A 14,387-nucleotide genomic window follows, 5' to 3' on the forward strand; every position below is an offset into this window, starting at 1 on the left:
CAGTTTCTAACAATAGAAAAGTAGGCAGCAATTTAGACAGAGTAGGTATGGGAGAGGGAGACAAAGTGGACAAGGAGGACTGAGCATGTCCTATGATGGTCTAGGACAGATGATACGAGTACTGCCATCCACACTGCACTCTCCTGCAGGGAGGGTCCCAGTCAGTGGGGGCCAATGAGCGAGATCTTGCTAAGGCATGCAGTCTGGCCTCAGTGTAGCCCAAATCTTTTCCTAGAACCAGCAACAGCATTAACCTGTAGGACATTGTTCCAAATTTCCAAAAGCTCATTTGTAATTTGGTTGGTAACAGAAATATATTTTCCTCCAGAAATTAGGTTAGGTTAGGCCAAATCACAAAAGTCTATTTAATAATCCATATGTACCTGAAGTTTAGCCCTCTACACAGGCATTTCACTCATTTCTAATTACCCAAATGTCCCAGTTACTCTGATTGCCTAAGAAATTACCCCCCCACACCCCAAATCTTACGGGCTTAAAACAGTAACAACTTTTATTTTGTCCATGAAACTGCAACCTGGGGCAGAGCTCAGCAGGGATAGTGCATCTGTGATTCCCTGGCATCAGGAGGGGGAAGGAAGACCTGATGACCGGGCCTGGAGTCATCTGACAGCTTGCTCACTCACATGCCTGCCAGTTGATGCTGGATGTCGGCTGAGACTTTAGCAAGAGATGTTGGCTGAAATACCTACTCTTGGCCTCTCTATGTGGTCTGGGTTTCCTACAATATGGTGACTGGATTCTAAGGGAAAATGTCAAGAAGAAAAAGAATAGCAAGAGAGAAAAAAATTGTATTCTTTTTATGATCTATCCTTGGAAGTCACCTAGCATTATTTCCACTGTACTCTATCAGTTGGACCAATCATAAGCCCATTTAGGTTCAAAGGGAGGGGCAATAGACTTCACCTCCTGATGGAGAGGAGCAAGATTCTAGAAGAACATATGGTAATGCAGTGGCTCATGCCTGTAATCTCAGCCCTTTGGGAAGCCAAGGTGGGAGGATCTCTTGAGGACAGGAGTTCAAGACCAGCCTGGGCAACATAGTGAGACCCCAAGTCTATAAAAATAAAAACAAAAATTTAGCTGGGCATGGTGGCATACGCCTATAGTCCTGGCTACTCAAGCAGCTGAGGTGGGATGATTGCTTGAGCCCAGGTTTGAGGTTACAGTGAGCTATGATTACACCACTGCACTTCAGCCTGGGCAACAGAGTGAGAACCCATCTCTAAAAAAAAATTTTTTTAATGTGGTAATGGATTCAATTGTAAGGCTATTTTTGAATACAATCTGCCACAACATATAACATTAATTCTGGGGAAAATACAATATATAATAGTAAGTCCTCACAACATCATTGACAACAAAACCAATTATTTTTTCTCATTAACATTACAACAAAACGATGTTGAATGAAATGACGGTATTTGAGGCTCTGCTGTATATTCCAAGTTGAAAGGCAATATAGTATAGTGAATAAAGAGCCAGGACTCTGAAGCCAAATGCCTAGAGCTCTATTGTATACTTGTGTGACACTCAGCAATTTGTTTAAGCTCTCTGTGCCTCAATTTCCTCATTTATAAAACTAGAATGTTGTTAAAAAATAGTTACTTTGAAAAGAACTTTGAAGACTATCCAGCTTCCTAAGTGTTAGCTATTATTATAATACTCTTCCAATTCTGACGGATTCTTCCTGCCTCCTCGGGGGATGGTGGTGGCAGCACTACCAGAAGTAGAAGATTAATAACAGCAGTTCACATTATTGAGTACCTAATACCTGTCAGTTTCTATGCCAAGTAAATTGACTCAAAAATCCAAGAGGGATGCCCTAATATTATTCACATAAGAAAACTCTGATTTAGGTAACTTGCTCAGAGTATCACTAGCAAGTGGTAGAAACAGGCCCCTGATCAGTTTAACTAGATAGAAGGAGCCTGAGTCCCTGGAGGACTGTGTGGAGCAGAGCCCTTCGCCCAATCCTGATTTCTGGGTGAGTGAAAAATGAACAGTGTTGGATTATGCCATTAAGATTGGGGGCTATTTATTACAGCAGTGACCCTGTCCTGACTGGGTTAGTACAGGGAAGACGGGAGAGATATTTTTGGAAATATCACTAATTTAAAGACTCCTTTCATAAAATACAATGGTTTTCATTATTTGTATGAAACAGGGTATTTGCATAAAAGAAAATACTCTCTAGGTCGGTCCCTACCAGTCTCATTTGTCTTCTGAACTAGAGGACAAATAGCCTCTGGCCAACTGGGAATAGGACTGAGCATACCGACCTGGAATCCCTGACACTGATGGGAACAGATTGCTCACAAATGAGGCCGGCTGTTCACCAGCTGCAGAATGTCTCTTCTGGGGTTTCACTCTGGTGTAAAACCTAATGGTTCCCAGGTTGTTTGTCTGTTTTGTTTTGATGTTCTGTTTTGTACTGTTTCCTTTTAGAATTCTCTTTTGGACTGCAGTGGCCAGTGTGGCTGTGGGAAAGAGAACCCCAGTTAATAGTACATATAGGTCTCTGGGCAAGTTCTCTACATAGTTAGACTGCATATTCCATGATGGAAGGGACCTGCCCTGTCTTGTACCTTATAGCAACCCTGGGGTCTGGCTCAATGCCTGACACGTAGTATGTGCTCAAAATTTGCTGAATGCATGAAAGACTGAATGTTTGAATAAAAGCTCAAGCAAACAAAAGCCAGGGTCCATAAAGGCCCTTGGGTTCTCTATGCCAGCAGCATATCTCACTTGAGGATCCCATCAGGGGAGGACCTCACATGCCTACTATAATACTGTGAATGCAGTAGTCCGTTAATAAATGTTCGCCAATTGAGTGACTGTGCTGCACATGATCCATGATAAGATGTGGGAAGGTATAGGACGGGGAAACTTTTGTGAGATGCTATTTTTGATCTCCAACGATATTGTAAATATGGTCGTCACAAACCTGATCATGGTTTGAGTTATATGAATCATATCAAAGTCTGTGGGAGTCAGCAGAGCAGATAGCCAAAGAACACAACAGTTTTCTTGACATTTACCTCTAATAGATAGGGCTTAAATTCATTAAAGCAAACAAAATCCAAAATCATCTTTTAAAAAAATTCATCCTTGCATAAAAGCAATGTGCAGCCTTTGGTCTTCCTGCAGTCACTGGGAGAGATTCAGAAAATGTGAACAATCCTCCCATGAAGACAGGCAACAGCTGGAATGTCTTTCAGGCTAGAGATTTATTTCCTACAAATCAAATATAAAACTGCATTGTGACCTGAGAATATTCTGGTTTACATTAATGTAAACTAAATTTTAAAGGGATGCCGTGTCTTTATTTAAAGGCACTTATGAAAATACATGCAAAAAACCCCCTAAAGTTCACTACTGAGATAAAAAGGGCAGACTGTTTTTAGTTTGGCTCCAGTGAATTTCAATATTTATCATATAATTTTTATATCAAAATCTTAGTGAACATTAACTTTTATGGTATCACTTCTGAAAACAATAAAAAATACTACATTTTGGAATGCTATTTCTAGTTAGATTTCCATCATGAAGCACCAGTTAAATAAATGTGGATTTTATGAAAAATAATGGCACATTCCTTTTTGAAAAGTTTCAAACACCTGGCTTGAGAAGCAAACAGTACAGCCTGGAGTCAGAGATTTTAAACTTTTTCCAAGTTTCTTTATCAAGTTGCTAGAGACTCAAAGCTCCCAAGGCAAGTGTTCTTTTCTAATCCAAAGAATAAGAAACGTTTGAGAACATCTCTTTCGTAATTCCTTTGAGAACACACGAAGACAAATTGCTAAGCTTCCATTTCAAATGCGAGGGATTTGGATTGAATTTAAACAACAGCTTGTGCAAAATGTCATAGCTCCCATTCTCTTACGCGGAGACAGTGGGTGTTGATGTCATAGAAAGGATGACTTTGGACATTCTGAATATAGGGCTGTGACGGCAGCTGACCAACTGCAAAGTTACGCTGTTGGTTTGGAGAGGAATATCAGGCACTATTTTCTGCACATTTAAAGAAACATGTTGAATGAGACAACTACTTACATAAGTCACACTAAACAATACTATTAATACCCCCTGTATTGGTCTTAAATATCCAATAAGCCAAATAAGGTTCTGCATTCAGATACTTGGGAAGTGTCTCCACTTCCAGCTTAATTTCAAACATGCCTCATCCTAGAGACCTCTGTCAGATAAACCTTTAGGGCTCTCTCTTGAGTATCTGGAATTAACATGACAATTGATCAATTCACACGTGTATGTGCTTTACATTAAGCTGGAAAGCCACATGCATTCTTTAATGCTTGCTTCAAATGCTATGAGCACATGAACTACCTTCTGTGGCCCATGGTTTTAACTCGCATAACTTGTACTAACACTATGAGTTTTCCTCTTAACCCCTGTCTAACCAGGTAAGGGTTTCCCAATCCAGGGGACATAAGACTGTTGTTAATGGATCTCAAGGAGGAAAATAAAAGAAAGTTACAATTTGGTAGCTATGTGAACATATTATTCCTTTTCATGCAGAATTTAGAGAACATTGCAAAATTCACACACTCGAAGAATAAAATCCGATGCGGTGGAACCGAATGTGGAAATGGGGTGATGGGTTTTGTCCAGTGCAGTTCTATCACCTTTTGGCATCACTAACGTACATATCAATTGACTCAGGGGTGGATAAAATTCAAGAGGGCCTGGGGAACTTGGTTGGGAAAAATATTATATCTTTAGTTTCACTAACCTCAAACTGAAATTTAGTATTTCCTTCAATTAAAATGTAGGCCACAAGCCACAGCACCTGTGATATTGTTGCCAAGAGAAATCACAGATATTTTCACCTCATTTTACAGTTGTTGTAGATATCCTGAAATATCTTTTATGCTCACCATTACTTCAAAATTATGGTAGTTATGGTAGTTATTATAACTGCTGTTAGTTTGTATTATGTAATAATGTGTTACTAACAAAGCATGTATCACAATTTTGTAAAATTTAGTTAACGTTTTTCAATGAATGAAAGTGGTTTGATTTGTAAACCTGCATACTTTATTTTATGCATGTAAAAACATAATTCTGAGAAAAGTACATAGGCTTCACCAGGCTGCCAAAGAGGTCCACAGCACCAAACGGGTTAAGAATGTCCGAAACTATACACAAAATATTTAATAATGCAACAGCCAGGTTTCTAGAGTACCTCGTTCCTTGCCAGCATCTTTTGAAGCTGCAACAAACATGACCTTGAAATCAACATAGTCTCAATGCTGTAAAATGATTCTGATGACAGTCTTTTTTTCTCTTATTTTCCCATAGGAAAAGACCTGTAGATTCTAGAGCATCTCTGCTTTCACAGCATAGGTTGTTTTCTTTTAGTGATAAACTTCATCATTGAGATTTTGCCATCAACGCTGAATTATTCTCTTGTATTTCATACCGCTGAAATATAGTCTATTTTGAAAGAGCATTGAATACAATTATTATAAGACTTTAATTTAAAATGTCATAGAGACAGCACCAAGAAAATCTCTGCTACCTGGAAAAACTATAATGATAATTCCACATTTTGAGTAAAAGAAGTAAATGTCAAAGTGTACCTCATCAAAGATAGTGCTGTTAAATGACGGTGCTACTGGTCTTATCTGTGCTCAACTGAAATGTTACATATAAATTATCATTTTTCTAGGGGTGTTAAGAATATGGCCTCTGGGTTATTATAATTTTGAGATCAATTAAGTGATGAGATTATGTCTCAGTAGATGTGCCTGGAATGAAAGCACATTAGACTTTTGGAAAATCCTCCACGGAGACCCTGACCAAAAACAGACATGTCAAATGCCAGCAAGTTAAATGAATATTCACTCATTGAAAGCTACTGAGAAATTATTGATATACCCACAGTTATTCACTTATTACTGTAGCTAAATACTGTTCAAAATTTTTCACCTCCAAGAGTAAAATAAATGCTATTAGAATTCTGAAACTAATAAAGAACATAAAAATTAAAACAATATATTCTTGCACTAAATTACGATATAATTCACACACTGTGAATATATGGTATTCATATATACAGTTAAACCAGTTTCTTCTACTAATTAAAATACTAGCTGTATTACATGTAGTGCTCTAAAATTTGCCCCTTTTTCTGTTAAACTTGTAAGATTTAGACACCTGGTTATAAATCTAGACTTTGGCTAACTTCAGTACTACAGGTATTCTTTAAATTAGAAGCTCCAAAACAATTCAACCTGTATGTCATGAAAGAAAATCTGAAATTACTAAACTTGGGAAGGAAAGGAACTACAATACAAAGAAAACAATTTGTAGTAAATAGTATTATAGGAATAAAGAGATAAAAATTCTTATTAATCACAGTTATCAAATTATTCATTTAAGATCCAGAGCAAATTGTGAGTGACTACTTCTATCTGTGTTTGAGTTAAAGTAGAACTTGTGTCAATGATACTTTTCATTTTAGGGCTATTGTTTTTTTCTTTAGGTAATTATGACGATTTTTAAAAATAACAACAGCTTACATGACTCCTTAGTAAAGACCACCTCATGCCATTCTCTTCACAGCTGAATTTTCAGGGGAGGATACTGGAAATATGCACTTTGCTCTAACAACCAAAAAGCAATTGCATGCACACATGTAAAAGGTTCCACCCCAACTTCCTTGGCATATTCCCGATTATTTCTCTCTAAACAGGAAACTGTTGACAATTTTTCCTGGTACTTTCAGAATACCAAAGGTTTTACTTACAAGCAAAATCCCAACTTTTGTTTCAGTTATAATGTTATTTCCCGTGGTTCCTATTGTTGCTAAATATGAATGCTGCAAACAAGATAGAAACCAAATTCCAAACTATTTTAGGCTGATTCAGAATTGAGTAGCAATTGTAAAAAGAAAAGTTAGAAACACATTGCAAGGCTATGCTGGAGTTTTTAAACCCAAAACAATACTGAAGGGAGGATTCCTGGAATTCAAGAGAGAATATTTGGCTCAAGCTGCAAAATCCGTATGTCTAAATAATGTTATGTTAGCAAGTGTTGAGCAAGCAAGACGATTATATTTTAACCTACTTCACAAAACATTAATCCAAATTTAACCAAATTCCAGAGAACCTGCCTGAAATTCACAACTAGAAGCTGCTTCACATTTTCCCCTTGGTACAACAATAATTGCTCATGAATACAAACTTGTAGGAGGTAAGAGAGAGGGGAAAACCACAATGAGCTATAAAAACATCTAACTATTGTATATAAAGCAAACTAATTACCTCACTCAGAAGAAGTGCAAGATTTAACAGTCCATGCTCTGCAGCCCCTGGAAACAGCAGTAGCAGCAGCAGCAAGGTCCAGCATCCACCAGATTCTCACAAGCCTTTGACTGTGTGGACTCAGCCACAGACTCTGCCTCTAGCTGACGTCAAAGTCCCTGTCACATGGCCAGATGAAAGCCAAGAGATCATTGGTTGTCGTAGCAACCACAGACCGGCTCTGAAATTATTTCAATAGGTCATCTGTCACTGTGGTGTGTGTGTGTGAGAGAGAGAGTATGTGTGTACGCACACACCATAGAACCATCACGGACAGCTCCTTGACAACCTCAACCCCCGAAGTTGTGACTCCAGAATGCCTACAACTTTCCTCTTTAAGGCTTTGGTGTCTTTTCTCTACAGTTACTTGCAGGAAAATATATGCCACCCTGAAGTTCTCATTTGTTTCACTACCATCAGCATGAAGCATGTCTCTCTCTCTCTCTTTCTCTATAACAAAAGGAAAGAAACTGAAAAATTCTGGAGTAGTTTTCTTAGCCAATTAAACTTATTTGCAAGCAAATATATAAAAACAGAAGCTCAGGGGGAGGGGTTGGAAGAAAATGTATTTTAAAAACTATATCAGAGTCTACATGGATATACTGAGACCATGCTTGTGATGGAAAGAAAAATAAAAAACAGTGGCTTGGGTTCATGACAGTGGCTTATGACTCAGAGACAGGTAAGACAGTCTAATGATCCTGACACCAAGTAGGATGTAGACATCAGATAACATAAATTCAGGATTCCTGTACTGTAAAATGTCTAGGTAAAAATGAGGACCGAAGGAGTTTCAAAACAGTGTTACTTTAAAATAACCATGTGAGTAAGCTGAAAACTGTGCTTTGGGGCCATACGGGTGCCAAATGCTCCCCTCTTGAGTCCTCTCATCCACACCCCTTTGCTGAGACTCAACATTGAGTAAACAGGGCCAGTGTTCCACAAACACAAAGTGTAATGAAAGCCCAGAGCCATAGAATGAAAGGGTTATCTCACATGTTTTCTAACATCAGCTTTATTTCCTTTACGACGACCCTAGCTTACTTTTAACTCTGCACACGTGCCTATTTCCCAGTTAATTCTCTTTCTTAATTAATGGGAAGCCGATTAAACAAAATCAATGAAACTCACAAGAAGGTACTCTGAAAAAGACATTCAGAAAATGTATGCCCAAACAAAGGACAAGGAGTTAAAAGGCAGGGGAGAAGAGACTGCCCTCAAAACCCTAAGGACCTTTATATGCTAGGCTTATAACGACTTCTATTCTGTTTCTTAAAATAAATAAATAAATAAAAAAGAGTAGCTCTGGGGTGCTACAAAATATAAATGGAACCTAAGTCAGCCAGGCAGATTACATTTGTGTCACTGTAAAAGAATGAAATTTCTTTAGTAGAATCAGAAATTGCTTCTTTAATAATAAGACTAATGTTCAAATCACTTGGTCATAGAATCGTCCTACTCCATCCTCCTTTTCATCTTCCTTTATTTCTGTCCCAGCCCCAATTGGGAGAAAAGATAGATTTTTATTTAAAAAGTTATTTTCCTGATGCGATTAGCTGTGGCACTGCAAAACCGAAATCAAACTATAAGGAACTTTCCTCCTTTAATTTCAGATTAATGACAGCTGGGAATTTACCTGTTTGAACAAGGACAATGGAATCCAATGTCTACCTAAAGCCTCACTAGGGGCAGATTTCACCAACAGCCACAATTCATAAACTGACAATTTGTTCCAATTATTGTTCTGCTTTTATGTTCAGAAATGCACATCATACAAATGAGGGAACCGGAAGAGGCAGAGAAACATACCCTTCTAGCTTTCCCTGGACCCACGTTCTCTGAGCTGCTTAATTTACCATCTCTCTGGCTCTAATCCATAGCTGCCTAATTAATTCTTCCTCCTCTTTATGCAGCTTTAGCATTTAAGAGAGAAAAACTGCAGTGCCACATTCTGCTAATAGGTGATGTCTTCTGAAATAAGAAGTTCTCAGTTCTAAAAAAAAAAAAAAATGCCTAAAATTCAGGACTTTAAATGGATTAATTTGAAAATTAGCAAAAAACCAACACTTTTACTTTGACTGGTTTAGCATTTTTAAGACTAAGTATACTTTATACTGCCTTGGGCAGTATTAAAATATTCAGTGAACTATTAAAATATTCAGTGAACTGGCTGGGCATGGTGGCTCACGCCTGTAATACCAGCACTTTGGGAGGCTGAGGCCGGTGGATCACAAGGTCAGGAGATCAAGACCATCCTGGCTAACACGGTGAAACCCCGTCTCTATTAAAAATACAAAAAATTAGCCAGGCATGGTGGCACATGCCTGTATTCCCAGCTACTCAGGAGGCTGAGGCAGGAGGATCGCTTGAACCTGGGAGGTGGAGGTTGCAGTGAGCCAAGATCATGCCACTGCACTCCAGCCTGGGTGACAGAGTGAGACTCCGTCTCAAAAAAAAAAAAAAAAAATGCAGTGAACTGACCTTCAAAATGAAAAGTGGGTGCATGTAGCCCTTTTTTTCTACAACATGCTTCAACCAGAAACTGAAGAGAGAGATTAAGTAATTTGCCTACCTACTCATTTTCCTTTGCAAACTACCTAGGTTTAGAATTTCCTCTTAGAGTGAAGGAAGCTACCAGTCTTCTGTGAGGTTGAAGGCATGATGGTGATCTCTTTAGAGCTCAGATTCCTACCAATTTGGTTAATTAACCCAAATGTAGTTGAAAGTATCACAGGAAATACACATGAGAGCTTTCTCCAATCACAGCCCACTACACTGAAGAGAATATGTGCCATTTTATTTTCTAATTGACAAGTCATTTTTTAAGGTGAAAATGATTCACCAAATTTAAAAATATCCATTCAAAAATAGTTCTGCATCTTATTTTTCACTCTTTGTAAAAATGTCAAGGCTGCCTATTATTAGTTTGACCACTTTGCCAGAAATAACTGGTAAATGCCACTAAACAAGCAGTCTGACCTGGGCTCACACACCTGAACTAACAGGTGGTTTGGGTCATGCAATTCTAACCAGTCTTTTGTCGATGTTTGTACATAGGGATGTTGCTGTCTCCTCTGTCTTAACGTTAATGGGCAGGCCTGGACCTACTGTTTAGAGCTACTGGGTTCAAATTTCATCTTTTTATGGCTGGACCTTGAGCAAGCTACTTAAGTCCTCTGAGCTGCAGTACCTACATCTTAAGGTTGTTTGGAGGATAATAAAGTTAATATATTATAAAATTCTGACACCTTGCCACAGGGTAGATGGCTCAAGTGTGTATGTCATTTCTTCTTTATCTGTCTGACTCTGATAAGCCTACAAAGATCTTCAGGGAAAGGATGAAATCTTATTCATCTGTACAACACTACAGTTAGCACACAACCCAGAACACAGTGAATCCTCAATCCATGTTGAATGACTCAACTATTGGGAAATAAATGTTGAAGAGTAGAAAGAAATGGTTCCTTTTTCTTCCTACTAATAGGGAAGAGAGCCTCTCTCCAACCCCCAACCTCAAAAAAAGGAAAAGAAGAAAAAAGAAAGAACAAAAATGTTGAGTTATCATAAACTTTTCTAAAACTGGATGGCTCCAAGTAAATCAAACTTAACCCTACTCATACATAAATAAATAAATATTTGTTATGAGTACATGTAAGTTATATGTGGATGTATTTAACGGTTCTTGCTGTTGATGTTGGAAAATTTTTACATTAACTGACATCGAGTGCTTACTACATGTGGAACATTTTTCTAAGTACTATACATTTATTAAATCATTTACTATAATAATCCTATGAGGCAGGCACTATTCCATATTTCACAATTGAAGAAACTGAAGAGAGAGATGAAGTAATTTGCCTACCTACTGCATAGCAGAGCCAGGATTTATACTCAGGAAGCTTAGCTCTGTAAAATTTTGGAAATAATTTACATTTGATATGCTTTTAGAAAAAATTGAATTATTTCTCATGTTTGTTTTACACTGTAGGGTTGTTTTTATTTTTAAATTTTTTGTGAAAGGGAGAAGGCCAACTTGTCTTTTCTTCATCTTGGAACTCTAAAGATCTTAATCTATCTTTGGCCTACAAAGTTCTATGGCAAGAAAATAATCTAGTCAGAAAAATTTGAATCAAGGAAAATGGGCAAAGTAAACTAGAGAAAATGTCCTGAATACAACTATGCCTAAATTATTATAGTCTTAGCTGAAGCAATATTTAGAATGCACAGGCTTGGGTGAGTTCTGTTTCCCACTATGATGAAGTAGCATGTGTTCAAACCAATACTCTCACTGAAATAACAAAAATAGCTAGCTAGATATATATTTTTAATGGCTGGAAGACATCAAAGAGTGGCAGAGGCAGCAAAAATTTTAAGTGCCAGGGTCTCAGATAAAAGGAAAATATATTGAGCGTCTTATTCCATTTGGACTGCTATAACAAAATACCATTAACTAGGTAGCTTATAAACAACAGAAATGTATGTCTCATAGTTCTGGAGGCTGGGAAGTCCAAGATCAAGGCTCCTACAGATGTGGTCTCTTGTGAGAGCCCATTTCCTGCTTCCTAGATGGCGCCTTCAAGCTGAGTCTTCACATGGTAGGACAGGCACACAGGACGAAGACAGCTATTTAGGGCCTCTTTTATAAGGAAATTTATCCCATTTATGAGGGCACTACCCTTATGATCTAACAACCTCCCAAAAAGGCCCACCTCCTAACACCATCACTTTGTGGGTTAGGGTTTCAACATATGAATTTGGGGAAGACACAAACATTCAGTGAAGCACTGAGGTATAGACTCTGCATTTCCCACTGCTTTTCTTCTTAAATTATTGGATGATTCTTAAGTGGTGTGGGGCTTTTAGCATTCTCAGAAGCTGAAGAGAGAAAAATTGGAGTACAAATATTTAAATGCATTCAAGACTTGAGGGACTAAGATTGTAGACAGAGAGAAAAAAATGGAATCACAGAGAAGATATTCCAACAATCTGTACCGTTTTCCCCTTGAAGCATTTCCCAATTCCTAAACGGCATAAGACAAGAGGACAAGAAGTGAAGCACAAAATGCAGCAAAGAGGCTAAAACAGAAAGGCAGAGTTTGGCAGTCGTGTAGTGACAGGGAGACCAAAATTATAGTTCAGATTCTCCAAGGAGTTGGAACCTGGTAAACCTAAGTTTTCATATCTCAAAACTGAAAGGCTAAGTCCTAGAAGAAATGAAAAACAGGAAATAGATGAGGACTCACAAAAGCCAGGATCCACCCTAGAATCATTACACTCTCTAATTGGATCAAGATAATTTTCCCCCTTTCTGACTACCTTCCAGAAAAATCGACCCTCTTTAAAGGAAGATGACATCTTTCAGAACCTCTAAAATTTTTCATACACCATTTTCAATTCAATCCCAAATCACTAAGCATGCCAGGAAATAGGTCTAACTGACCACAATCTCTGAGGAAAAAATAGGCAATATAGGTAGACTCAAGTTATTCATTTTCTGTAATCATCAGACAGGGACTTTAAAATAACTCTAATTTGTATGTTCAAGAAAATATATGGCAAACTGGAGAATCCTCACGCAAAAATGAAATTTTAAAAAAGGAAAATATTAAAATTAAGTCACTAAAAAATACAATGGAAGGTAAAAGTACAATAGATGGGTTTAAGAGCAGAGAACATACACAAAAAAAGAAAACTAATGAAAGAGACAGATCAGCAGACAATATCTAGACTGAAGCATGATAAGAAGAATAGAAAATACAGAAAAATGTAAGAGACATTGGAATATGATGAAAGGCTAATGTGAATTTGAAAGATGAGAGAAAAGGAGCATAAAGAATAAGCAATATTTGAAGAGAATGAAGAAATTTTCAAAACTTACAAAAAGACACCGTGAAAGGAAAATATCTTGGGCCCCCAAAATCACGAAGCTGAAAGGAAAATTCAAGCTGGAAACTGCTCAGGCCAAACCTGTCTCCCATTTTATTCAAAGTCATCCCTCTGCTCACTGAGATAGATGCATTTTCTGATTGCCTCCTTCGGAAAGGCTTATCAAAAACCCAAAAGAATGCAACCATTTGTCTCTCTCCTACCTGTGACCTGGAAGCCCCTCCCTACTTTGAGTTATCCCCGCCTTTCTGGATGGAACCAATGTACTTCTTACATATATTGATTGATGTCTCATGTCTCCCTAAAATTTATAAAACTAGGCTGTGCCCTGATGTCCTTGGGCACATGTTATCAGGACTTCCTGAGGCTGTGTCATGGGCATGTGCCCTCAACCTTGGCAAAATAAACTTTCTAAATTAACTGAGACCTGTCTCAAATGTTTGGGGTTTGCAACGCAAAACAACAAATTTAAAAAGTTCTATATACCGCCAAAAGGATAAATAACTATAAAGAAAATCACACCTAGAAACCTCATAATCAACCTGCTAAAAACTAAAGACAATGCCAAAAATCTTAAAAACAGCAAGATAAAAACACCACATTAACTTTAAAGGAGCAACAAAAGACTTTTCAACAGAAACTGTCAAATCCAGAAGATAATGAAATAATAAACTTTGAAATGACAAAAGGAAAAAGTGCAAATTTTTTATTATATATACAGAGAAAATGTTCTTTAAAAATGAATGTGGAGGCCAAGTGTGGTGGCTCATGCCTGTAATCTAGCACTTTGGGTGGCCAAAGCAGGCAGATCACGAGGTCAAGAGATTGAGACCATCCTGGCCAACATGGTGAAACACTGTCTTTACTAAAAATACAAAAATTAGCTGGGTGTGGTGGCCTGCACCTGTAGTCCCAGCTAATCCGGAAGCTGAGGCAGGAGAATCGCTTGAACCTGGGAGGCAGAGGTAGCAGTGAGCCGAGATCATGCCACTGCACTCCAGCCTGGTGATACAGTGAGACTCCATCTCAAAAAAAAAAAAGAGGAGTGTCTTCTGTTCCCAAGAAGACTACAGACTGCAAAAAATAAATTAAATAAAATAAGAAACAGAGCTTCTGAGACCCATGGGACTATAAAAAAAAATCTTTTATGTCTTC

At 37.9% G+C, this 14,387-nt stretch overlaps 1 protein-coding gene across 24 annotated transcripts in view, besides 2 other annotated features; it reads right to left on the reverse strand.

Moving 5' to 3' along the window:
• The window catches only part of NCALD (neurocalcin delta), a 438,366-nt gene that overhangs the window by 97,013 nt on the left and 326,966 nt on the right, over window positions 1-14,387 (reverse strand). For 5 of the 24 annotated variants that reach the window (NM_032041.3, XM_047422313.1, XM_047422308.1 and 2 more), the window contains exon 1: window positions 7,308-7,415. The exons of 18 other annotated variants lie outside the window; for them this stretch is intronic. The gene's annotated coding sequence lies outside the window, so the exon portion shown is untranslated. Of the gene's footprint in view, window positions 1-2,300; window positions 2,499-5,224; window positions 5,476-7,307; window positions 7,416-14,387 lie in introns of those variants that run through there. One more of the 24 variants, XM_047422309.1, reaches the window with a different exon arrangement.
• Window positions 3,478-4,024: an enhancer, noted in NCBI's record as "OCT4-NANOG hESC enhancer chr8:102799260-102799806 (GRCh37/hg19 assembly coordinates)". NCBI's record gives its function as "activates a minimal SCP1, AML or CMV promoter by ChIP-STARR-seq in naive H9 embryonic stem cells {active_cell/tissue: H9 hESC(naive)}" and the evidence as "EXISTENCE:reporter gene assay evidence [ECO:0000049][PMID:30033119]".
• Window positions 4,025-4,571: an enhancer, noted in NCBI's record as "OCT4-NANOG hESC enhancer chr8:102799807-102800353 (GRCh37/hg19 assembly coordinates)". NCBI's record gives its function as "activates a minimal SCP1, AML or CMV promoter by ChIP-STARR-seq in naive H9 embryonic stem cells {active_cell/tissue: H9 hESC(naive)}" and the evidence as "EXISTENCE:reporter gene assay evidence [ECO:0000049][PMID:30033119]".

The sequence above is a fragment of the Homo sapiens genome, chromosome 8 (assembly GCF_000001405.40).
Source record: "Homo sapiens chromosome 8, GRCh38.p14 Primary Assembly".
Taxonomy (NCBI): domain Eukaryota; kingdom Metazoa; phylum Chordata; class Mammalia; order Primates; family Hominidae; genus Homo; species Homo sapiens.